Source organism: Homo sapiens, chromosome 12, assembly GCF_000001405.40.
Source record: "Homo sapiens chromosome 12, GRCh38.p14 Primary Assembly".
Taxonomy (NCBI): domain Eukaryota; kingdom Metazoa; phylum Chordata; class Mammalia; order Primates; family Hominidae; genus Homo; species Homo sapiens.
Window position 1 is genome coordinate 6756059 of NC_000012.12, and position 23600 is coordinate 6779658.

The 23600-nt window shown below is 54.6% G+C and overlaps 2 protein-coding genes across 5 annotated transcripts, besides 6 other annotated features; both read left to right on the forward strand.

Annotated features, from left to right (window-relative positions):
* Positions 10170 to 10499: a silencer, noted in NCBI's record as "silent region_4180". NCBI's record gives its function as "represses an Ori minimal core promoter by ATAC-STARR-seq in GM12878 lymphoblastoid cells {active_cell/tissue: GM12878}" and the evidence as "EXISTENCE:reporter gene assay evidence [ECO:0000049][PMID:35858748]".
* PTMS (parathymosin) lies at positions 10305 to 14894 on the forward strand. 2 transcript variants are annotated; one of them, NM_001330333.2, is made up of 5 exons: positions 10305 to 10692; positions 13545 to 13616; positions 13786 to 13941; positions 14099 to 14160; positions 14334 to 14894. In NM_001330333.2, exons 1-4 carry the CDS (start codon positions 10648 to 10650, stop codon positions 14138 to 14140), a joined length of 315 nt encoding a protein of 104 aa, NP_001317262.1. In that variant the 5' UTR covers positions 10305 to 10647; the 3' UTR covers positions 14141 to 14160; positions 14334 to 14894. The 2 variants fall into 2 exon arrangements, with proteins under 2 accessions (NP_001317262.1, NP_002815.3); NM_002824.6 differs by having other exon boundaries at positions 13863 to 13941.
* Positions 10610 to 11109: a silencer, noted in NCBI's record as "silent region_4181". NCBI's record gives its function as "represses an Ori minimal core promoter by ATAC-STARR-seq in GM12878 lymphoblastoid cells {active_cell/tissue: GM12878}" and the evidence as "EXISTENCE:reporter gene assay evidence [ECO:0000049][PMID:35858748]".
* Positions 14895 to 16461: 1567 nt separating the features above from the next.
* Positions 16462 to 22397, forward strand: LAG3 (lymphocyte activating 3). Of its 3 annotated transcripts, none has more exons than NM_001414176.1 (8): positions 16462 to 16852; positions 17134 to 17281; positions 17639 to 17943; positions 18537 to 18806; positions 19215 to 19490; positions 21206 to 21448; positions 21733 to 21949; positions 22186 to 22397. In NM_001414176.1, the coding sequence occupies exons 1-8, from the start codon at positions 16795 to 16797 to the stop codon at positions 22211 to 22213; spliced, it is 1545 nt and encodes a 514-aa protein (NP_001401105.1). In that variant the 5' UTR covers positions 16462 to 16794; the 3' UTR covers positions 22214 to 22397. The 3 variants fall into 3 exon arrangements, with proteins under 3 accessions (NP_001401105.1, NP_002277.4, NP_001401106.1); NM_002286.6 differs by having other exon boundaries at positions 21733 to 21863; NM_001414177.1 differs by lacking the exon at positions 21206 to 21448 and having other exon boundaries at positions 21733 to 21863.
* Positions 17722 to 18051: a silencer, noted in NCBI's record as "silent region_4182". NCBI's record gives its function as "represses an Ori minimal core promoter by ATAC-STARR-seq in GM12878 lymphoblastoid cells {active_cell/tissue: GM12878}" and the evidence as "EXISTENCE:reporter gene assay evidence [ECO:0000049][PMID:35858748]".
* Positions 22256 to 22906: an enhancer, noted in NCBI's record as "H3K4me1 hESC enhancer chr12:6887480-6888130 (GRCh37/hg19 assembly coordinates)". NCBI's record gives its function as "activates a minimal SCP1, AML or CMV promoter by ChIP-STARR-seq in naive H9 embryonic stem cells {active_cell/tissue: H9 hESC(naive)}" and the evidence as "EXISTENCE:reporter gene assay evidence [ECO:0000049][PMID:30033119]".
* Positions 22655 to 22704: an enhancer, noted in NCBI's record as "active region_5881". NCBI's record gives its function as "activates an Ori minimal core promoter by ATAC-STARR-seq in GM12878 lymphoblastoid cells {active_cell/tissue: GM12878}" and the evidence as "EXISTENCE:reporter gene assay evidence [ECO:0000049][PMID:35858748]".
* Positions 22907 to 23558: an enhancer, noted in NCBI's record as "H3K27ac-H3K4me1 hESC enhancer chr12:6888131-6888782 (GRCh37/hg19 assembly coordinates)". NCBI's record gives its function as "activates a minimal SCP1, AML or CMV promoter by ChIP-STARR-seq in naive H9 embryonic stem cells {active_cell/tissue: H9 hESC(naive)}" and the evidence as "EXISTENCE:reporter gene assay evidence [ECO:0000049][PMID:30033119]".

Consider the following 23600-nt stretch of genomic DNA (forward strand, 5'->3'; position numbering starts at 1 on the left):
TAAAAAAAATTAGCCAGGTGTGGTGGTGTGTGCCTGTAGTCCCAGCTACTTGGGAGGCTGCGGTGGGAGGATTGCTTGAGCCATAATCACACCACTGCACTCCAGCCTGGGAGACAGAGCAAGGCCCTGTCTCTAAAAAAGAAAAAAAGAAAAAAAAAAAACCTCTTGAACAGGTGAGGATGAAAGAGCAAATGCAAGAGCCCATTTTCAGAGTTCTTGGAGACATACCATATAGGCAGTTGTCTACTCCAGGAATTAAAGGGATGTAATTTTGCAAGTAACCAGAGTTTGTGTCTGTCTTCCTTCTCCGGGTCTCTCCCTCTCCTTCATTTCCTTTCCTCTCTTCTCCTTCACTCTCTTCCTCTCTCCCTTCCTCCATCCCTCTTGTCTTTTCCCTCTCTCCCTCCCTCTTTTTTTTTTTTTTTTTTTTGAGACGGAGTCTCACTCTGTCGCCCAGGCTGGAGTGCAGTGGCACGATCTCGGCTCACTGCAAGCTCCGCCTCCCGGGTTCACGCCATTCTCCTACCTCAGCCTCCCGAGTAGCTGGGACTACAGGTGCCCGCACACCTGGCTAATTTTTTTATATTTTTAGTAGAGACAGGGTTTCACCGTGTTAGCCAGGATGGTCTTGATCTCCTGACCTCGTGATCTGCCCGCCTCAGCCTCCCAAAGTGCTGGGATTACAGGCATGAGCCACAGTGCCCGGCCCTTTCTTTCTTTATCTTTCTTTCTCTCTCTCTCTCTTTTTCCTTCCTCCCTCTCCTCTCCTCTTTTTCTTTCTTTCTTTTTCTTTCTTTCTTTTCTTCTCCTTCCTTCCTCTTTTTTTTTTTTTCAGAGTTTTGCTCTTGTTGCCCAGGCTGCAGTGCAAAGGCATGATCTCGGCGCACCACAACCTCCGCCTCCCAGCTTGGGTTCAAGTGATTCTCCTGCCTCAGCCTCCGGAGTAGCTGGGATTACAGGCATGTGCCACCACGCCTGACTAATTTTGCATTTTTAGTAGAGACAGGATTTCTCCATGTTGGTCAGGCTGGTCTCGAACTCCCTACTTCAGGTGATCTGCCCGCCTTGGCCTCCCAAAGTGTTGGGATTACAGGCATGAGCCACTGCACCTGGCCTGCCCTCCCTCCCTTCCTTTTTCTTTTCCTTCCTTCTTTCCTTCCTTTCTTTCTTCCTTCCTTCCTTTCCTCTTTTCTTTTCTCTTTTCTTTCCTTTCTGTCCAGTGAACTGTGGTGAACAGTGTCCCATAGGTAAGATGTAGAAGGGAGAGCAGGCCCTGCCAGGGGTGAGGCTCAATCATAAGGCAGATAAGGATTGTTGGCAAGGAAGAGAAACAAAGTTCCAGCATTCACTGTTCTATCTGATGGAGCCAAAGTCATGAAGTCCTTGAGAGGGTACAGCCGGGCCAGAAAAGGGGTCGTCTCTTCAGATGTGAGGTCATGCCTCTGGAGCAATCCCAGGGCTGTGAGACATTAGAGTGGAGGGAGGGTGGAGGAGTGATGAGGGAATGAGGGGAGACTGAGTTTTTTGCCTGAGCGGCATGAGCGGGTGTGGCTGAGTGTGTGTGGATGTGATGTGCATTTGTGTTGGGGGAGGGAGATAAACTATAAAAAGGAGCGCTAAGGTGCCCCAGGTAGAGAGAGGGGGGAATGCCAACTCAGTGAGAGAGAAAAGTGACTTGAGAGCATTTTTTAAAAGTCACCTTTTCAGCTTTAAAAAAATAAATAAATAAATAAATAAATATATATATATATAGCCAAATATGTACTGAATGCCTACTCTGTGTCAAGTACTGTTCATGGTTCTGGAGATACAGTAATGATAGAAAAATAAAGCAAGGTAGAATGGGGATGGAGAACAGGCAGGCAAGCTGGGAGGCAGGCAGTTGTTGCTTTTGATGTAGGTGACTAGGGAAGACCTCACTGATGAAGTGACATTTAAGCAGAGACCTGAACAAGGTGAGAGAAATAGCTGGGATGAGAGCATTCTGGGCAGAAGTAGCAAGAGCAGGCCAGGTGCAGTGGCTCAAGCCTGTAATCCCAGCACTTTGGGAGGCTGAGGTGGGTGGATCACTTGAATCCAGGAGTTCGAGACCAGCCTGACCAACATGGTGAAACCCTGTCTCTGCTAAAAAATACAAAAATTAGGCTGGGCGTGGTGGCTCACGCCTGTAATCCCAGCACTTTGGGAGGCCAAGGCAGGTGGATCATGAGGTCAGGAGATCGAGACCATCCTGGCTAACACAGTGAAACCCTGTCTCTACTAAAAAATAAAAAAAATAAAAAAATTAGCTGGGTGTGGTGGCGGGCACCTGCAATCCCAGCTACTCAGGAGGCTGAGGCAGGAAAATTGCTTGAACCCGGGAGGCAGAGCTTGCAGTGAGCCGAGATCACACCACTGCACTCCAGCCTGGGCAACAGAGCGAGACTCTGTCTCAAAAAATAAACAACAAAAAAGGGTAGCAAGCACAAAGGCCCTCAAGTATGCAGGAAGGCAGAAGCATGCTTAGTGTGGTCAAGGAACAGCAAGAAGCCAATGTGCCTAGACACGTGTGAAAGAAGGAAGAGCAGTGGTGAGAGACCAGGTCACAGAGGAAGAAGGAAGCCAGTCATGTGGGACTTTCTAAGCCTTTGTAAAACCTGCGAAAGGATCACTCTGGCTGTTGTATGGAGGACAGACTGTTGGGGGAGGGGCAACAGCAGAAACAGAAAGCCCTATTAGCGTGCTGTAGCCATAATCCAGATGAGACCTGATGGTGGCTTAGAGCAGGTTAGAAGCAGTAGAGGCAATGAGAAGGGGTCGGTCGTATTCTGGATGTATTTTGAAGATAGAGCTAGCAGAATTTGCTGATGGATGGATGCAGTGTGAGAGAGGAGTCAAGGATGTTTCCAGGATTTCTGGCCTAGGAACTGCTTACACTGCCAAGTACTGTACTGAAAATGTACAAATAGTGGTTTGAGAATATGTTAAAGCGGTGACTGTTTGGAAACTCGCGACTGTGTGGCTATCCGGGATAACTGACCTGGACACTCATTTCTTGAAGCTAGCCTAAGGTAGGAGGAGATGTGGACAACATGAATGAGGGACTTCCACACCTAGTTTGACTATAAGATATTGGATATTAGACCGTCTTGCGTAGATATGCTAATGGTACCTGTTGGCATTAGCACTGGAGTTTCAAATTATTCTTTAATCATTTCAAGAAGACATCCTGGCCGGGCACGGTGGCTCACGCCTGTAATCCCAACACTTTGGGAGGCTGAGGCAAGTGGATCACCTGAGGTCAGGAGTTCGAGACTAGCCTGGCCAACATGGAGAAACCCCGTTTCTACTAAAAATACGAAATTAGCTGGGCATAGTGGCGCATGCCTGTAATCTCAGCACTTTGGGAGGCCGAGACAGGTGGATCACGAGGTCAGGAGTTTGAGACCAGCCTGGCCAACATGGTGAAACCCCGTTTCTATTAAAGGCGGAGGTTGCAGTGAGCTGAGATGGCGCCATTGCACTCCAGCCTGGATGATAGGGCGAGACTCCATCTCAAAAAAAAAAAAAAAATTGCTGTAGCAAAACTTTGAGGGAGTAGTGGTGTGAGGTAAGGCTACAGAGGTTAAAAGGAACCAGACCTTGAAGGGCCGTATTTGCTTGTAGAATTTGTCCTGTAGGGAAAATTACAATAGTCTGTTTATATTTTAGGTAGAAAGGCAGTTTATGCATTTCAGGAAACATCTTTGAGCTTCTACAATATTCCAGGTATGGAAATAGGTGCTGAAGATGTAAAAAAAAAAAAATTCTAAAATCATGATTGAAAACCCTAAGGAGCTTAAGCTTAAAGTCAGCGAGTGAGCCTTTGAGCAGAGGCAGGGCGGGGATTAGACAGCAGAGGAGGCACTCAAGGAATGAGGGATCTGGGGAGGGAAAGAAAAGGTGGCTGACCCCTGGGCGCGAATGTATGGGTGGAGGACAGTCCCATCAACTGAAAGAGGAAACCCAAGGGAATTTCAGTGGGAACAAGTTAGGTTTGAGGAGCTGTGTTGCATCCGGGGAGAACTGAACAGAACAGAACTGGAATCATCACTCTGGAACTCCGGAGAGAAGCTAGTGCCAGAGAGTTGAAAGTGTGTTTGAGGTGTGTGTTGGCAGTGGGACTTAAACCCATTGCAGTACAACATGGAATAGTTTAGGGAGTCTGTGAAGAGAGAACAGGACCTCTGAGATTGAAGTCACCTGGGAGGGTTCAGTGGACACTGTCATCGTCTCCTTCTGGTCATGAAATCCTCCCTTCCTCAGTCTTCTGGGCAAAACAAGTCTTTAGCTGTTACTCCTTGTCCTATTTTCCCTTGCCTTTTCATTTTTACTGGTCCCCTGGATCAGCCACACAGTCTGTTTAATCTATGAAAATGTGAACACTCTGAACAAACACACACCTATGGTAAAGTATGTGCCAACAGTGGCCCTGATGACCTGAAACACAGCAGCCAGAGTTGCTCCCTGACTTTCTACTTAAGGATTACTGGTGATGGAGGTTGAAAAGGTGGAAAAAGAGGCAGTTTAGGGCCAAGGTCTAAAGTGTTGCTATCCCATATGGGAAAATAGCCACTAGCCACATGTGGCTATTTAAATTTAATTAATGGCCGGTAGCGGTGGCTCACACCTGTAATCCCAGCACTTTGGGAGGCCGAAGTGGGCGGATCACGAGGTCAAGAGATCGAGACCATTCCTGGCCAACATGGTGAAACCTCATCTCTACTAAAAATACAAAAATTAGCCAGGCATGGTGGCGCGTACCTGTAGTCCCAGCTACTCGGGAGGCTGAGGCAGGATAATTGCTTGAATCCTGGAGATGGAGGTTGCAATGAGCCGAGATCGTGCCACTGCACTCCAGCCTGCCAATAGAGCGAGACTCCGTCTCAATAAATAAATAAATAAATAAGTTTAATTAAAAGGCCGTGCGCGGTGGCTCATGCCTGTAATCCTAGCACTTTGGGAGGCCGAGGTGGGCAGATTGCCTGAGCTCAGGAGTTCGAGACCAGCCTGGGCAACATGGTGAAACCCCGTCTCTACTAAAATACAAAAGAAATTAGCAAGGTGTGGTGGCGTGTGCCTGTAGTCCCAGCTACCTGGGAGGCTGAGGCAGGGGAATTGCTTGAACTTGGGAGGCAGAGGTTGCAGTGAGCCGAGATCATGCCACTGAATTCCAGCACTCCAGCCTGGGTGACAGAGTGAGACTCTGTCTCTACAAAATAATAATAATAATAATAATTAATTAAAAGTAAAAAAATTCAGTTCCTCAGTTGCGCTAGCCACATTTTCAAGTGTTCAGTAACCACACGACTAGTGGCTACTATGTTGGAAAGTGCAGATAAAGAACATTTCCATCATCACAGAAAGTTTTGTTGGACAGAGCTGGAAGGCACCCATAAATGTTGCCTTCCTTCTGGACTTTGTTGAAGGCCCATGAAGACATGTTGAAGAGTGAATGTGGGGGAGAAATTGAAGGCAGGACAGAGAGAGTCAGGCAATAGCAAACTATTCTAGGTGTAAAAGCAAAGGCGAGGCCGGGTGCGGTGGCTTACACCTGTAATCCCAGCACTTTGGGAGGCCAACACAGGTGAATCACGAGGTCAGGAATTTTAGACTAGCCGGGCCAAGATGGTGAAACCCTGTCTCTACTAAAAATACAAAAATTAACTGGGCGCAGTGGCGGGTGCCTGTAATCCCAGCTACTCAGGAGGCTGAGGCAGGAGGAGAACTTGAACCCGGGAGACAGAGGTTGCAGTGAGCCGAGATTGCGCCACTGCACTCCAGCCTGGGGAATAGAGCAAGACTCTCTCTCGGAAAAAAAAAAAAAAAAGGCAAAGGCATTCCCGAAGGAGGGCAGGGGGAATAAGAAAAGCCAATCAAGATTCTGAAGAAGGGCCCACGTGGTGGTTCACGCCTATAATGGAGGCTGAGGTGGGTGTATGGCTTGAGCCCAGGGGTTCCAGACCAGTCTGAGCAACATGGTGAAACCCGATCTCTATGAAAAATAAAAAAATTAGCCAGGTGTGGTGGGGCGTCTCCAGTCCTAGCTACTGAGGCTGAGGTGGGAGGATCACTTGAGCCCCTGGAGGCAGAGGTTGCAGCGAGCTAAGATCGTGCTACTGTGCTCCAGCCTGGGTGACAGAGTGAGACCCTGTCCCAAAAAAAAAAAAAAAGAATCTGAAGGAGAGGTACAAAGGTGAAACCCATTCTTTTTTTACTGGGGAGAAATTTCATGGAGAAAAGTAGGAAAACCACAAAAACTTTGGTTGTGATGTTCAAAACATAAAAGAGACTTCCAACCAGGACATCTTCCCAGTAGTTACTGGGAAGATCTCAAGTCAGACGGAGGGAAGCCAGTATCCTGGCAGCATGGTGTGTTTTCCCAGCTTCCTTGAAGAAGGTTGAGAGAGCTGTGAGATTGAGTCCAAAATGGTGCCACTGGGCTAGGAAATAGATGGTTTATTGAGCTTTCTTGTTTGTCCCTGGTGTGGTGTTAGATACTATGCCACAGGAGACATTAGTATGGGTGGAAGACCAAGGAAGGCGATTGGGTGTTGAGAACAACATATGGGAAAAAGGGATACGGGTCTGCAAAGTCAGGAGGAATCAGGGAGGCACTGCAGAAAAGGAGTACCCACGGAGACGGGACGCATGATGGATGTGCCTTAATGTTGCCTGGAAGATCATCTCTCCTTATTTTTAACACCCATGGAGGTAACACACTCAATCATGATCCGGCCAGGTGCGATGACTCATGCCCGTACTCCCAGCACTTTGGGAGGCCGAGGTGGGCAGATCACCTGAGGTCAAGAGTTCGACACCAGCTTGGCCAACATAGTGAAACCCCGTCTCTACTGAAAATACAAAATTATCCAGGTGTGGTGGCACATGCCTGTAATCCCAGCTGCTTGGGAGGCTGAGGCATGAGAGTTGCTTGAACCCAGGAGGCAGAGGTTGTAGTGAGTGGAGATTGTGCCACTGCACTGCAGCCTGGGTGACAGAGTGAGACTCTGTCTCAAGACAACAATAATAAAAAAACATGATCGAAGTTAGGCTAATTTAGGTCTTCCTCTAGGACTCCATCTCCTCTCAACTCTCCACTGACTTTCGTTTTGAAAAGTTTTAGATTGAAAATAAAAAAAGCAAAGGAAAATGGGGTAAATGGGGGATAGAAAATGAGGTCACTGGGAATGGAATGGGGATAAAGTAAAACGAGGAGTGGAGATAGCCCCCCCAACTTTCAGGTCTCTGTCTTCCAAGGCCTTGAATGATAACTAGGCCTTCCTTACCCCTTAACCAACAGGAGAAATAGGCACACTGAAAAAATCCAGGAAGCTGGAGAGGGGGAAGAATTCACCAAGAATGAGATGGAAATAACTAGAATTGAACACTTCCCACACATGGTATCAAGGTAAATTTCTAGGATGTCAGGCCAGAAGTCATCGTTTCCAGGGGGCTCAGACCTTCCTTGTTCTCACCTGGTCACCTTTTTCCCGCTTTCAGAAAATGTGTAAGAAGCACATGCTTCCCCCATTCAACTAGTGGGAGAAATTCTCAATTGGACTGTAGAGTAAGGTAATTCTAGGAATAGGCAAGCCTCCACAAAGCCTCAGAAATAGTTCCACAGAGAAAAGCAAACACAGGCCATTTAGCACCGTTGGCCCCAGAGGCTCTGAGGCTAACCCCTAGGACTGTCGGGTGGCTTTCAGATCCCACTCACTCCACATTCATCCCAAGTCTCACTTCCAGCTTCTTTCTCATGAAGCCAAGACTTCAGAAGACTGGTTTGTTGTCCAACCAGAGAGAGATGGCTAAAGGATGCTTCATCCACCAGGAAAGGAATTCGATCCAGGCCTCCAGCTTTCTAGATCTTTTCCCTGGGGTCCCTCGGACCCTAGTGTTCAAGCTCTTAGATTCTCAAGGCACTCCCTTGGGCTTTGGGGCAGGATTCCCATTCTCTGCCTCTCCATCTCTCTGGAATTTTCCACTGCAGCTGCCTCTGCTCCCAGACACCCCTCCCTGGGCAAAATTCCCGGCTCCCTCCGCCTCCCCTTCCCTAATCACACCTCATTCCCACCCCCAGCCCTGAGGCCCAGCCCACAGTCCGGCCCACAGCCCACGCTAACCCTGGTGGTCCCAGTTAGAGAAGTGGGAGGCCAGGTCCCTTATGGAAGGGTGAGAGGGAGTGTCCCAGCCTCTCTTTAGGGCGGGGAGAAGGGACACTGGAGGGGCTGGTCCCCTGTGGGGCTGGAGTTGGGGGAGTGGCCCTCCTCACATCCCCATATAAGGCAGGGCAAGCAGTTAGGCTTCTGGATTGGCTGATTCAAATGAGCATTCCACCTGGCAACAGGGTTTCTATTGGCTATCAGGAAAAATAGGAGGAAGGTGGATGGAGGTTGTTGGTGGCGGTGATTGGAGGGGGGAGAGGAGTGGAGGTGACCGGAGTGGGGGGCGGTTACCAGGGCAACAGGGTAAGAGCCCAGCAGGGTGTCCGAGACAGCAGGCGGGGCTGGGAGGTGGAGTGGAGGGAAGAGGAAAGGAAGGCGGGAGGGAGAGGAAAGAGCCTGATGGGGAGGGAGCGAGACTGGGAGACTGGGTTGTTGGTTGGGCGGGGGGGGGAGTAGCAAAGGATCGAGGAGAGGGAGATAAATGAAGCAAGAGGAGTACAGAGATGGAGACGGTGAGAGACGGCTGAAGACATCAGCCAGTGAGTCAGAGAAACAGATTGAGAGAGGGACATGGAAAGATCTCAGAAAAGATGGACAGAGTCCGGCAAGGAAAAATCCTGGGTGGGGCCCCAAGATTTTTGAGGAGACTGAGACTGAAATATTGATAGAAAAGTCAGAAAGAGAAACTGGGAGGCGTGTACATCAAGGGACCAAAAGATGGTGTATTTAAGCACTCAAACACAAAATAATGATAATGATCATCAACGTAGTTTTTTATTAATAAAATGAAAATAATAAGATGAGGAATAATGATAATGACAGACAAATATGGGAGTGCACGCACACCAAAGGTCTTTTTCCAAACCCCAGCCTTCCACTCTGTCCACCTTCCTGACCTTTAATACACAACCCAGCCCCTGTTCCCTTCTGAAATCCCAAGCTTTTCAAAATGACTCAAAGATACCGAGATTGAGGGCGAGGAGCTGAGGATGTGTGGAATAGGGTGGGGCTGGAACTCCAGACCTGGACCTGTATTATATTTGCAAAGGAGGCAAATATAACCCAGAAAGGCTAGGGAAGATGGCAGCAGAGGAATGAGAAAAGCTGAAGGATGGAAAATGTAAAAAATGAGGACAGAAAGAGGAGTTGAGGAAAGCCAGCCAAGAATAGAGGGCCAGGTGCCTGACTCAGATAAGACAAGAGCAGGGTTGTCTGGGAAAGATAGGGAAAGAGACCAGAGGTGGAAGGGCAGAAGAGAGTCAGTGAGGAGTGGAGAAGAGGTGAGAGAAGAATGGGAGCGATTCGAGTTATAATTGGTTGTGAAGGAGGGGTCTAGGTACAGATGACTGAGGACGGATGAAGAGAAATAGAAGGACCAGGCGAATAAAAGTGAGGTGAGACGGGCGAATAAGAGAGGTAGAAGATGGAAGAGAGCTGGAAGACAGCAAAGGAGACCAGGGGGCCTGACTCCCCCCGGCTCACAGCACGGGGCCAGGAAGGGAGGCACCCGGCAAGGGTCACAAGTGTCAATCTGGCGGGACAGAAGGCTGGGCCGCCCTTTCTGCCCTCCCATCCCTCCTCAAGGCCATCCAGAGAATGTGGATGGAGGATGAGAGGGGGAAATCCGGCGTGGTGTGGAAGGAGCGCCCGAACCCTCTTCCTCTTCTTTAAGCTTTTGGTTTCTCAAATACCTGCCCTATCTTCCCATCTGCTCCCCTCACCCCACCCCTTGGCAAAATCCCAGGGCTTTTTTTGGGGTCAGTAGGATTCTGGCCACCTCTCCAGTCCGCCCCCAAAAGCCAGACTCCACATTCGCAGGCAGTAGGTTGGGATTTGGAAAGGTGCCTCCCCGCAGGAACCCCACCCCTTCCCACCTCCTCGCCCCACTCTTTCTCCGCGGCCGTCAGTCTCTCCATTTCCCCCTCCTGGTCTCGTCCTCCCTCCCGACTCCCTAGCTCTCCCTCCCCTCGCTTTCATCCTCCTATCCCCACCTCTCCAACCTCCTCTTTCATCCCCCTCCCCTCTCCTCTCCTCCCCGCTCCCGCCTGCCCCACCCCTGGGAAGCCCCTCCCGTCGGGCAGCGCCGCCTTATAAGCGGGTTCCCTTCCCGGGGGCGGCAGCGGCTGGTCGGCGGCAGCTCTGCTGGTGCGGGGGCGGCGAGCCCGGGATCGAGCTACCGCGGCCGAGCGCGCCGGCCACCGCCTGCACCGCCCTTCCGCCCGCCCTCCGGACGGCCGCAGCCCTGCGGGTCTCCGCTCCAGACCCACCCCCGCCCCACCCCGCGCGCCTCTGCCGCCTCTTCCAGAGACCCAGCTTGCCGAGCGGCCGCCGCTGCCGCTGTCGCCGCCGCCGCCGCCACCGCGCCAGGTTCCGGCCGCGGCCACCCTCCGCCGTCCAGGGCCCCTCCGTCTCGGCCCCGGGACCCCGGCTCCCCGCCAGCCCCGGCCCCGGCCCCGGCACCATGTCGGAGAAAAGCGTGGAGGCAGCGGCCGAGTTGAGCGCCAAGGTACGGGCGGGGGCGGCGGCGGCCCGGACCTCGCGCAGCCCTGGGGCCCGGCGCGGTCCTTCGCCCCAGGCCGCCCCCGACGGCCCCGCGCGGCCCTTGCGCCCGGGTCCTGGCGGACCCCACTGCGCCCTCCCACCGCTCCCCGGCCCGGAGCTCCTTTCCCGGCTCCGCGCGGCTAGCGCCAGCGCCCTCTAGCTGCCCTGCGCGCACCACGGCGCCCGGCCTCGCCGCTCCGGTCGCGCCGTCCCCCGCAGCCGTCCCCACCCCTCTTCGGCCCCACCTCGCTGACCGGATCCCGTCCGGCTTCCCGTCCGAACGCCCCGAGTCTCACTTTGCCGCGCCCCCTCCCTGCGCCCCGCTGCCGCGTCTTTGCTTGCAACCTGACCTCACCTTTCCTCGCTAAGCGGTTTGAGATCCTCAAGTGTAAACAGGACTCTCCCTGGAGGCTGCTCCTCCGGGCCCCTCCCCGCGGCCCGACCGTCGCTCGCTTCTCTCCCCGGACGGCGGCCGCCTCTGTTTTCTCGTTCCCTCCCCTCAGCTGGCTTTCAGCTTTCTTTTCTCTTCATCGTCCCCTTCCCGCATACACACTGAAAGAATCTCGAATTCCTAAAAATTAGAAGCGGGGCAGGACTAGCCTTCGAAAAAGCCGAGGCTGGGCATTGCATGGCATTGCGTCGAGCTGTCCTCGCCCTCATCAGCTCCCTTCCCCGGCCCCATCCGTTCGCCCTTGCCTCTCTTCCAGCCTTCCTCTAATTTCCCCAGGGAACCTGCGGAGTGTCGCTTTGGGAAATTAACGCGGCCGGGGTTTGGGGGCTGGGAGCCCTATCTTGTGTGTGTATGTGTATGGCGGGGGGGGGGGGCGCGGTGGTTGCTGAGGGGCCGTCACACAGGTCTCCCGGAGGCCCGCGGAGTGAAACGGGGGGAGCCAATGGGATTAACGGCGGTGGGAGAGGGGCTGTGTGCGATCTGCCAAGGTGCGCCCGTGTGGCCCTCCGGCGGGCTGTGCGGTGGCATGTGACTTCACTGAGTAGGTGTCTTTGTATGTCTGAAATCCAGCGAGTGTGTGGGACTGCCCGTGTCAGTTACATGTGTGCATGTGGAGACGTAGATGTTCTGGAGCCATGTTGTCGCTTTGTGAGTGCTGAGTGGCTCCGCTGTGCTCCCGTGCTGTCTCAAGAGTGTGGACCAGAATGGCCCAACGCTGGGCCATGTGTCTCCCATCGCGTGGGTGCTCCTCTCTAACTGTGTCTGTGCATGGCTGTCGGCCGGTGTCGGTGTGTGTGCCTGTGTTGAGTAAATGAGGCCAGAGGGCTGCTTAGCAGAAGACCTAGGGCCCAGGTCACATATTCTCCTGGAAAAGGGATCATGGAAGGACAGTGACCAGAAGGACAGAACAGGGGAGGAGAGGGCCCGGCCCCTTGAACTTTGGTCTCTGGTATTCTCCCTCCCTGCATCAGCCCAGATGGGAAAGTCAGGCCAGGGCCATACAGACTTTTGGTGCTGGGGCCCCCAGAGAGAAGCTGACCAGCTCTTTGCTCTCCTGGCCCAGGACGTAGGGAAGAGCCCCCTAGGTAGTGGAAATGCCATACTGACCTTGTGGCACAGAAATGAAGACCTCACGGTGGGGTGGAAGGGCACCCTCTCTGGAGTGAGAGTGAAGAGTTCTGAGCTACCCTTAAAGGGAGAAGGGAATTGAGTGCCCCCCAGGGCAGCCGTTCTGCACCAGGCTCCTCTCCTATCCCCTATCCTGTTCCAGAAAGGACCCCCCCGCCCAGGGTGATCTCACACAGGAGACTTCCATTCACATGGAATCAGATACACAGCGTGGCACACCAACACCAGATCAGATCACACAAGGACACCTACCGTGTTACACTGTGCCTGCCAAGGAGTGGGTGGGGAGAGCACTGGAATCTGAATTGGGAGGCTAGTGTAGTGTCCAGAAGGGACTCAGATGTGCCATATCAGCACAGGACGTCAACCTATGCCTGCTAGGATCTTGGGGTGAAGGAGAGGGGCTGGCTGGTGGGAGGGTCTCCTAGACTGGTCCCTCCCTCTTCTCCATTCCTATCCCACCCCAGTCACAGACCTTGTTTGTTGCTCTCTCCTTGTTTCCCACGCCTGCTACTCTTCCCCTCCTTGTTTTCTCTTCTACTTCACCTACATTTCCACCGTAAATGGCTACTTCCACTACACCCATGCATACACCATGGGAGGCAGGGATAGAGGAAACTACTTGAACTGTTTTGGGGCGGGGAGGGCAGAAAGTGGGAGGGGTGCTGGGAATGTGCTAAGGTGTAGTGTTTGGCCAAGTAGGGGCCTGAGGATTAGGGAGACACAGATGGAGAGAAACAAAGACCTTAGAAGCTGAAGGGGAAGCTGGGAGGGATGCCCAGGAGAGAGAGTCCTCAGGAAAAGGCCCCAGAGGTAGACAAAAGGCAGAGCTGGGCGGGCAGTGGCGGGGCAGGCAAGGGAGGCGGAGGGACACAGGAGGGGGCGGGGCACTGAGGCTGCAAGCAGATGGAGAGGATTTGCTTTGCTGAGCTGAACTCTTCAGCCAGTGAGGTTTGGGAGAACTTGATGGGGGTGGGGATCATTACCCTGGTTGCCCGCTCCTGCTTCTTCATCCCTTTCCCACCTCACCTTGGGTCTTGGGGAAGGAGGTGTTTGGTCTCAACCCCTTCATGGCCCTAATGTAAGGACCCTAGGGCCCCTATTCTGTCTCTAAGCTGTGGCCACCTTATTCAGTTCACACACCTCTAAGCTCACTACAGAGGGAGAACTGGGGCTGCAGGGACTTAGGGGCTGCAAGCCATTTGTGGTGAGAAAGGTGACCTCTTTCTCCTTTGCAGGACCTGAAGGAGAAGAAGGAGAAGGTGGAGGAGAAGGCAAGCCGGAAAGAGCGAAAGAAAGAAGTGGTGGAGGTGTGGAGGGGTGGGGGAGAGGACCACATCTGCCCTACCATCTTCCCTCCCAATCATCTCATCCTTCCTCTGCTTTCCTTCCGAGGGTGCTGGGTCCTGCCGTTCCCCTGAGCCCTGTCACCCTTGCTGCCCCACCCTGTGGCCCATCCCAAGCCCTTTTATCACCCAGGCTCCAGTCCCATTGGTGGTGATGGTGGGCAAGGCATGCAGCCAGCCTGAGGCTACTCCCTCTCCTGGTCCCCACAGGAGGAGGAGAACGGGGCTGAGGAGGAAGAAGAAGAAACTGCCGAGGATGGAGAGGAGGAAGATGAAGGGGAAGAAGAAGGTGGGGAGGGGCAGGGGAGGCTGGGCTGGCAAAGTCTGGGCTCAAAGGAGAGCAGAGTCAGGGTGGGTTTGAAGACCTGAAGCAGGGCTGAGGGCGACCACGGGGGCTCTGCCAGAGCTTCCTGCCCTTCCCCAATGACCCATTTCTGGCTCCTCAGATGAGGAAGAAGAAGAAGAGGATGATGAAGGGCCCGCGCTGAAGAGAGCTGCCGAAGAGGAGGTTTGGGCTGGGTTGCTGGGCCTGAGGGGCTGTCAGGGATGCAGCCGGGCTGGGCGCCCTTTGGATTTGGACCCAGATCCCTGTGTGGCAGGGGTGGGGGCTGGAACAGGACCGGGACAGGGGGAGGTCTCCCCTCCCATTTTACAGCTCCCCCATTCTCTCCCTCTCCACAGGATGAAGCGGATCCCAAACGGCAGAAGACAGAAAATGGGGCATCGGCGTGAGCCCCTGCCAACAGGCTGGGGTTGGGAGGCCTCTCTGGGCCTGGAGGTGGGGGTGGGGGCAGCCAAGTCCAGCCACTCTTCACCTGGCTCCCTGCTCTGGGCCCTGCACCAGAGCTGCCACCCTCTTCTTTCTCCCCAGCCTTCTCATTTCCGCCTCTCCAGACACTGCGCCCTCCACCCTCACTCTGCCATTGTTCCACCTCCTGACCTGCTCCATCTGAGCTCTCCAGCTGGCCCCCAATTGCTCCTCTCTCTCTTTGCTCTCTTTCTCCCTCCCCTACCAGCCTCATTCTTCCTCCGGTAGCCTCTCCCACCTAACCTCTGCATCCCCCAGCCTCATGTCCTGCCCCATCCCTATCCTGCCTGATCCCTGGATCTCCCTCAGATCCCCTCTTCTCAGACAGCGCCAGGCCGGGGTGGGGCCGGGGTTGGGGCCGAGCCCCACAGCTGCCCCCCTCCCCTCCCTTTTTGTATAATTTAATAAAGAAATGGTCGCGCTTCTGTTTTTAACCTGTCTCCTGCTTTCCCGGGGGCTCCAGTCAGTGCGACAAAAGGGTAGAGAGGGAGGAGGGTGGCTGACCTCCCATTCTGCCAGGACCCTTCCCTTTGATACAAAAGCAGCAGCACACTCCTACCACCCACGACTCAAGAAGACAAGATCAGCCCTCCAGGGGTGGCCTGGAGCCCAGCTCTTCTGAGAGCTGACTTATGTCCTGTTTTGGATTCTCAGGGATGCTCCTCCCCAGCAATACACACTTCCCTGCTAACCCACACAAGACCTAGACACTGCTGAGCCCAGTGGAAAGCTACCAGCTCTATTGTGCTGAACCAGGCACAGAGAAACAGCCCAGAAACAGGAAGTCCTTCCCCTGAGCTGGGAGAGGGCTGGTAGTCCTGGGTCTCAGCCTGCTAGGATCTGGAGTGAGCTGCCTGGCATCAGAGATGCCCTCTGCCTGGCATGGAAGCGAGCTCCTTCCAGTCAAGCAGGGAAATCCTGGGTCTCGTGTCATCCCCAGGTCGGCTGTATGTTTCGTCACCTGCCCTCCAACTCTCCCTGGGCTGGGCTGGGGAGCGGGAGTTGTATGACTCTTGTCAGTCTTGGGCCTTCCCTAGTCCCACTGCCTCTGTTTCCCCTGAGTTTGATCTCTGTTAGGAGATTTCTAAGATTTCTGCATTTCTCCATCTCCGCATGGCCCTTGCCTTCTCCTCTTAGTTCGGAACCTCTGGACTGGAGGATGCTTCTGAGGGCATGGGGACCTGAGTTGGAGTGGGGAGGGGTGTTGACTCATCAACAGCATCATTTCTCCCAGGAGACGCCCGTAACTCATCCAAGGTCAGGACTACACACTGTCACGCACACAGGTACACTCACAGCTTTTATCTTCACGCTCCCTAACCTTGGCAAATTGTACAATTTCTTTGAAGCTCAGTTTCCTCATCTGTACAATGGGGAAAAGCATTAGATTTCATGAATTACTATAAGTAAAGTGTCCAATACAGTGCTTAGCACGTAATGAAGCCTCAATACAATGTAGTTATTCTCCATGCCCCACAAAGCTGGCATGCCTAGCCTCAGACCTACCATTTTTTGGGGTGCAGTAAGGCTTCCTGTCCACCATGTTCCCAGGGACATTGTACTGATGGGTGGAAAGGCAGGTCTAAAGGGGTCACGAAGTTCTGGGAGGTTAAGGGAACGAGGAAGGAGATTGAGCAACAAGGAAAGAGCTTGCCAAGAAGGAGGTGTGAATATTGGGACTGAGGAGGCAGCTTAGAGATGGGCAAGGGGGCAGTTCCAGGCAGAAATGGTTCGTGGAGGCAGAAGGTCCCTGGGAGAGGGAGCAGTCTGGAGGGTGGGGCAGGGGCGAGGAGGGGGAGGTGGGGAGACCCAGGACTGAGGAAGTAAACAAGGGGAGCGCCACCACAGAGGTGGAGAGGTGGAGGGTGCTGCTGCTGGGAATCAACCCCCTCAGACTTTCCACTGCGAAGCGAAACCGTAAGCCCTGGGGTGCGGGGGGCGGGCCGGGAGGAGGGGAAGTGGGGAAGGTGGAGGGAAGGCCGGGCACAGGGGTGAAGGCCCAGAGACCAGCAGAACGGCATCCCAGCCACGACGGCCACTTTGCTCTGTCTGCTCTCCGCCACGGCCCTGCTCTGTTCCCTGGGACACCCCCGCCCCCACCTCCTCAGGCTGCCTGATCTGCCCAGCTTTCCAGCTTTCCTCTGGATTCCGGCCTCTGGTCATCCCTCCCCACCCTCTCTCCAAGGCCCTCTCCTGGTCTCCCTTCTTCTAGAACCCCTTCCTCCACCTCCCTCTCTGCAGAACTTCTCCTTTACCCCCCACCCCCCACCACTGCCCCCTTTCCTTTTCTGACCTCCTTTTGGAGGGCTCAGCGCTGCCCAGACCATAGGAGAGATGTGGGAGGCTCAGTTCCTGGGCTTGCTGTTTCTGCAGCCGCTTTGGGTGGCTCCAGGTAAAACGGGGATGGCGGGAGGGTTGACCTCCAGCCCCACAGGAGGGGACCAGCAGGGATCTCTGTGGCCACAAAGGTCCTGAGGTCCTTAGCTCTGTGGATTCTTCTAATCCCTTTTTTGGGCAGTCCTTCCACCCCGAAAGCCTCTCTGGGCAGAGAAGAAACAGAAACCCAAGTTCTTCCTGCACCCTGTTTCTCCCTCGGGAAACACCCAGGCTCCTTCTCTACCCCTGCCTCTCGGCTCACGCCCCCTCCCCTTGGCCTCTCTTTTGCTCACCTAGTGAAGCCTCTCCAGCCAGGGGCTGAGGTCCCGGTGGTGTGGGCCCAGGAGGGGGCTCCTGCCCAGCTCCCCTGCAGCCCCACAATCCCCCTCCAGGATCTCAGCCTTCTGCGAAGAGCAGGGGTCACTTGGCAGCATCAGCCAGACAGGTATGCACCCCAAACTTGGGCAACAGGACCTCCGAATCCAGCACTCAACCCCACACCCGTGCCGGTCCTCTGTCCCCTGCCCTGAGGTGTCACTCCCTCTGAAGCCAGTGACCCAGTCTCCCTGCCCTCGCTTGCACCGTTCCTGCCCTTGCTCTGCAATCAGCGACCCTCACGCCAGCATCCCTTCTCTCCAGAAGTGGATGCGGCCAGTCCAACAGAGGGGTCGGGCGTGAGGGGACGGTTGGTGGTCAAGAGAACTCTTGGGGCGGGCTTTCTCATCCTCAACGGGTGGCTGCCTGCATCCTCCCGGGCTTCCTACCCCTGGAGCTTCTCAACTCCATTCTCTTTCCCGCCCAGTGGCCCGCCCGCTGCCGCCCCCGGCCATCCCCTGGCCCCCGGCCCTCACCCGGCGGCGCCCTCCTCCTGGGGGCCCAGGCCCCGCCGCTACACGGTGCTGAGCGTGGGTCCCGGAGGCCTGCGCAGCGGGAGGCTGCCCCTGCAGCCCCGCGTCCAGCTGGATGAGCGCGGCCGGCAGCGCGGGGACTTCTCGCTATGGCTGCGCCCAGCCCGGCGCGCGGACGCCGGCGAGTACCGCGCCGCGGTGCACCTCAGGGACCGCGCCCTCTCCTGCCGCCTCCGTCTGCGCCTGGGCCAGGCCTCGAGTATGTGGGGCGGGACGATGGGAGAAGGGCTGGGAGGTGGGTCCCCATCCCCTGCCTCCCGGGACGCAGGAAGGGCTGGGGCAGAGGCTGCGCCCTAGGCCCTGTCGGAGAGCTCCCAGAAGAGTAGAGGAAGGGGGTGGGCGGCCTGCTGGAGTGGAAGGTGCCCCCGAAGCACGTGTATGGGGGGCCCTGTGGAGAGATTGTGTCACCCCCGAGCTCCCCTTCTCCCACCCACGCGGGAGTGCCCAGAGGGAGGGGGAGGGGGGGAGAGCATGGGGCTAAAGTGATTCATTTCAGATATCTGTAGCTCAGGGGGTGGGCTTCGCGGGGTTCCAGGCCAGGAAAACGGCAAGGGTGGCTGATGCCAAGTAAACTCCAGGCCAGGGACGGGGAAAGTGGTCCTGGGGAGTCTTGGGGATCCACTTTATGCACCTCCAGGTGCTGGAAGCTGAGATGGGGAGAGGGTGATGTGGGAGAGGAGAAGACAAGTCTAAAGCCAGGTGCCTGTTTCCAGGAGCTTCCGGCTTGGCAGCCCTGCTGTGTTGGGAAATTGTTTCCAGTGGGCTGATGAAGTCTTCTTTATCCTTGCACAGTGACTGCCAGCCCCCCAGGATCTCTCAGAGCCTCCGACTGGGTCATTTTGAACTGCTCCTTCAGCCGCCCTGACCGCCCAGCCTCTGTGCATTGGTTCCGGAACCGGGGCCAGGGCCGAGTCCCTGTCCGGGAGTCCCCCCATCACCACTTAGCGGAAAGCTTCCTCTTCCTGCCCCAAGTCAGCCCCATGGACTCTGGGCCCTGGGGCTGCATCCTCACCTACAGAGATGGCTTCAACGTCTCCATCATGTATAACCTCACTGTTCTGGGTAACTCCCCCACTCTGCTTCACATTTGACCACAACTCCTTCCTGCCCCCCTTGTCACCTCCCCTAACTATGGGTCCCCAAACCAGGTTCTCGGCAGCGAGTGGCCTACGTCATTGCTGTGGGTCTCACTGTTCGACCCCTTTATATTGCTGGCAGCCTCACAGCTGCCATCACCCCTTCTTGCTTCTCCCGTGGCCTTCCAGCGTCATTGCCGGCCTTCCCTCTCCTTCCGGCTAAGCCCACTTGCTGGGTTTCTGAGCCTCCTCAGCTCATCACCTTATTCTGCTCCTTAGCACTCTTATGAGCCAGACCATCTCCTGAATTCTTCTGCCTCCCTTCCTTGCAGCCCCAGCACTCCCTCCCCACTGCAGCACCCAGCTTTAACTTTGGGTTTTCTTTTCTCTTCAGGTCTGGAGCCCCCAACTCCCTTGACAGTGTACGCTGGAGCAGGTTCCAGGGTGGGGCTGCCCTGCCGCCTGCCTGCTGGTGTGGGGACCCGGTCTTTCCTCACTGCCAAGTGGACTCCTCCTGGGGGAGGCCCTGACCTCCTGGTGACTGGAGACAATGGCGACTTTACCCTTCGACTAGAGGATGTGAGCCAGGCCCAGGCTGGGACCTACACCTGCCATATCCATCTGCAGGAACAGCAGCTCAATGCCACTGTCACATTGGCAATCATCACAGGTCAGCCTCAGGTGGGAAAGGAGTAGCTGCCCTCCCAGGGTAGAAAGGACAGGGAGGAAGGGCTGGCAGGGCAAAGACTAGGCAAACCCACCCTGTGATGCCAGGCCACTGGGCACAAGTTCCAGAGCCTGCCCATCTCGGCCCCCACTTTTCTCACCCCCATAATAAAGAAACGAAACTGAAAATCTCCTCTTGAGTCACAAGATAAAAGTTCCACCGTTCTCTATGGGACTCCCCTGCTCTCAATTGGCGGGAGGGTCTGGGAAGTTAGAAGGAAAGGTGACAAAAATTCTGAATGGTTCGAAAGAGGTAGAATATATTTCTAGAATCCTTGTCTACTTTGCAGCCAGGGCTTGGGTTAGAGTTGCAGGAAGTGGCCTGGATTTGGGAGGAGTGAATAAATCCGTCCCTTGGTCAGCAAATATTTACTGAGCAAGGGTTTTCCAAGACAGTATAAAACAAACACAGAAAAAAGAATACTCAGAGAGTATGTGTTGACTGGTTGATAACTATCGGCCATGACAGATTAGCCATGTCTGCAGCACGCACCTGCGGCCACTCAGTAGTAGCACCCCACGGCAGGTGCTTAATAATGTATAGAGATTGAATGAATACGTGAACATGCTAATGGATAATACATCTCCTGAAGGCCAATCCTGAGTTTTCACTTGCTTTCTGGATACCTCTAACTAGATGTTATACCACCTCTCAGCCGCCTTACCCTGAACCCCAGCTTTTTCTCCCACCAATCCCCTTGCTGACTCAGCCTGTCAGTAATCCACTGGTATCCATCCACCTCGAAACCTGGCCTCCTCCTCTCTACATCCCATCAGTCATCAAAGTCCACCAGTTCTTTCTGTCCAATGCCCTCTTGAAGGTCAACTGTTTTATGTAGACGGCTCAATGAGAGAGATACTGTTACCCCGAAGACTTTCTCAAAACAGCTGGGAAGTGCCAGACTCTGGGTCTAAACTCAGGTGTCTGCATCACCAAATCACTCTCCAGGACACTACTCAGATGCCCTTCACCCTTTGTCTCCTCCCACCCACCCATCTCTCACTTTACAACTTGGAGAATGCTCTGTCTCTAGATGAATGGGTCAGTTCCCTGTTCTCTATACCTTCAGAAAGGGGGATGATGTTCATTCAGGGGGCACCACAAGGCAGGGGACACTGATGTGAGCCGCATCATGGAAGTTCCAAAATTGTGAAGTAGATGGGGGTCAGCTCATCTGACTGATTTTGAGGGTTCTGAGCATTTGAGTAGAAAGTAATGTAAAAGAATCTGTAATAGTATTTATTCTGTGGTCTGCCAGGGCCAGTTTGAGTGTGAAGGCAGTAGGGAGCCTGGAAATGTTTTGAGCAGGGGAGGGAGCTGACTAGAGCATTGTCTGAATAAGATAAATGTGGCCGGCAGGGCATGATGGCTCACACCTGTAATCCCAGCACTTTGAAAGGCTGAGACGAGAGGAGCACTTGAGTCCAGGAATTCCAGACTAGCCTGGGCAACATGGTGAAAACGCATCTGTATACAATTTAATAAAAAAATAAATAGAAAGAAAAAGATGAACGTGGCCATGACCCATGATGTCCTTCCCCAACCTCCCCTGGCCAGAACCCAAGTGAGTGCAGGGTGATTGAGACTTGGGGTTCAACCTGTGATATCACGTAAGGGGGGCAGAATCCCAAAAGATCTCTTCCTTCTACTCTTTTCAGTGACTCCCAAATCCTTTGGGTCACCTGGATCCCTGGGGAAGCTGCTTTGTGAGGTGACTCCAGTATCTGGACAAGAACGCTTTGTGTGGAGCTCTCTGGACACCCCATCCCAGAGGAGTTTCTCAGGACCTTGGCTGGAGGCACAGGAGGCCCAGCTCCTTTCCCAGCCTTGGCAATGCCAGCTGTACCAGGGGGAGAGGCTTCTTGGAGCAGCAGTGTACTTCACAGAGCTGTCTAGCCCAGGTCCGAGGCCCCAGAATGCCAGGACCCAAACGCCACAGCAATAATCTTTATCCTCCTTCCAGAACAGCCCCTGCCACCCCCATCCCAGCGCTTTTCTTTCCAGTCAGGGACCTGATCTCTGGCTTTTGCCTAGGGTTGACCCGTTTCCGCCACTGATCAGCTGAATGACCCTGGGACAAGTCCCTTAAACTCTCTGGATCTCATTGCATCTGTAAAGTCTGAGAGAATGACAAAGTGTCCTTTCTAGTCCTGACCCTATGCCTCATCCTGTACTTTCTCCATAGGTGCCCAACGCTCTGGGAGAGCCCCAGGTGCCCTCCCAGCAGGCCACCTCCTGCTGTTTCTCATCCTTGGTGTCCTTTCTCTGCTCCTTTTGGTGACTGGAGCCTTTGGCTTTCACCTTTGGAGAAGACAGGTGAGCCAGGGACATGGCAACCCCGCCCCCCAGCAGCTCCCGCTCTTCCATCCTCAGAGTGCTGATGGCACCCCTTCCTCAGGAAGGTGACCAAATGGGACCCTGAACTTGCCCTCAGAGCCCCCCTTCTTCATAAGCCTCTCACTCCAGGGATGGCTTGTGCCTGGGTAGGCTGGAAGGGGGGTTGGGAGAAAGCCAGGACCAGATGGGGAGGGCAGGGGCGCTGAGAAAAAATAGAGGGACTCAGTGTCCCTCCTCATCCGCTTCCCTTCATCCTTCTCCTCCTTCCGCCCTCCGTCTCTCTCTCCATCTCTTCTCACAGTGGCGACCAAGACGATTTTCTGCCTTAGAGCAAGGGATTCACCCTCCGCAGGCTCAGAGCAAGATAGAGGAGCTGGAGCAAGAACCGGAGCCGGAGCCGGAGCCGGAACCGGAGCCCGAGCCCGAGCCCGAGCCGGAGCAGCTCTGACCTGGAGCTGAGGCAGCCAGCAGATCTCAGCAGCCCAGTCCAAATAAACTCCCTGTCAGCAGCAAGCCTGAGTCTGGCTCTTTCTTGTCCAAGTGAAGGTTCCCGTCTCTCCCCAGCCTCTGAGGGCTCCCTTCTCCCACCCTAGCCTCCTAACCTACTTTCCCCAGCCAGCCTCCCTCACCTTCCCCTTTTCTGTTTCTGGCTGCTTCGTGTTTCTTTCTTGGTCTCTCTCTCTCTTGCGCTCACTCTCTCTTTCTCTCTCCTGGGTAATCATTTCTCTGAAGCTCCCCCGAAAAAGCCCTTGCCCCTTGCCTCCGCAGCTCTCTCCTCCGTCCTTCCACCCACCTTCCACCCACAGTGCGCTGGCTGCCCTGGTTTCCTTGATATTTTTGTCCTTTGGGTCCACCCCACCCCACACTCAGCTGCACTTCAGCACTTGTCCTTGGCCCTCCGGCTGCAGCAGATGCGCACATATGCTCGCGCGCACGTGCACACACACATGCACACACACGCGCGCGCGCACACGCACACACACACACACACACACACACGCGCGGCGCGCAGAGGACTGCCTTGTCAAGTCTTCCAGGAGATCCGGTCTGGAAACCTCTCTGGGCAGCCGGCTGGGGCTCCTACCTCTGCCCCACCCCCCACGTTCCTCAGCCCTTGGAGGCTTTTCTGGTCCCAGGCATGAGAACACACTGCCACCCAGTGGTCACTGCTTGTCACACCCCAACGGAGGTCACTGGGCCGGCTGCGGCAGGCCTGAGGAGTTGAGCAGTGCAGTGGACAAGGCAGGGCACAGACTGCTGTGAATGCAGGCACCGCCTTTGTATTATGCACGTTCTATGTGCAGCATATGAGTATGTGCCCGGTGACTGTCACATGTCCTATGCACCCTTCAGGAGAGGGACTGAACAATGCATGTCTCAGGAGATACAGCCCTGGCTGGCCCTCTCAAGGGTGTAATCTATGTCTGACAAAGGGGAAGGCTGTGAACAAAGGCCTGTGCGTAGAGCAAAACAGCCAGCTGCAGCTGTGGGAGTCGGGAGCCCCGGCTTCTCATTCCAGCTTTGCTGATGTAACTGTAGTCAATCTCCCTGAGCCTCAGTTTCCTCACCTATTAAATGGGATAATGATAATAACCCACCAAAATGGGTTGTTGTGAATATTGGATAATAAAGGGCTTTGGAAACTGTGAAGTGCTCTGTGTGTGTGGAGTACTTGTCTGATTATCCATTAGTGAAGGAGAAAGCAGGCCTGCTCTG

Excerpts from the sequence above, each read along its gene's own strand:
- PTMS (NM_001330333.2), top strand. The coding sequence starts at position 10,648 with ATGTCGGAGAAAAGCGTGGAGGCAGCGGCCGAGTTGAGCGCCAAG. Across the intron at positions 10,693-13,544 it reads CGGCCGAGTTGAGCGCCAAG|GACCTGAAGGAGAAGAAGGA; the intron begins GTACGGGCGGGG and ends TCTCCTTTGCAG. Across the intron at positions 13,617-13,785 it reads GAAAGAAAGAAGTGGTGGAG|GCTCCAGTCCCATTGGTGGT; the intron begins GTGTGGAGGGGT and ends TTTATCACCCAG.
- LAG3 (NM_002286.6), top strand. The coding sequence starts at position 16,795 with ATGTGGGAGGCTCAGTTCCTGGGCTTGCTGTTTCTGCAGCCGCTTTGG. Across the intron at positions 18,807-19,214 it reads GTATAACCTCACTGTTCTGG|GTCTGGAGCCCCCAACTCCC; the intron begins GTAACTCCCCCA and ends TTTTCTCTTCAG. Across the intron at positions 21,864-22,185 it reads TTCACCTTTGGAGAAGACAG|TGGCGACCAAGACGATTTTC; the intron begins GTGAGCCAGGGA and ends CTCTTCTCACAG.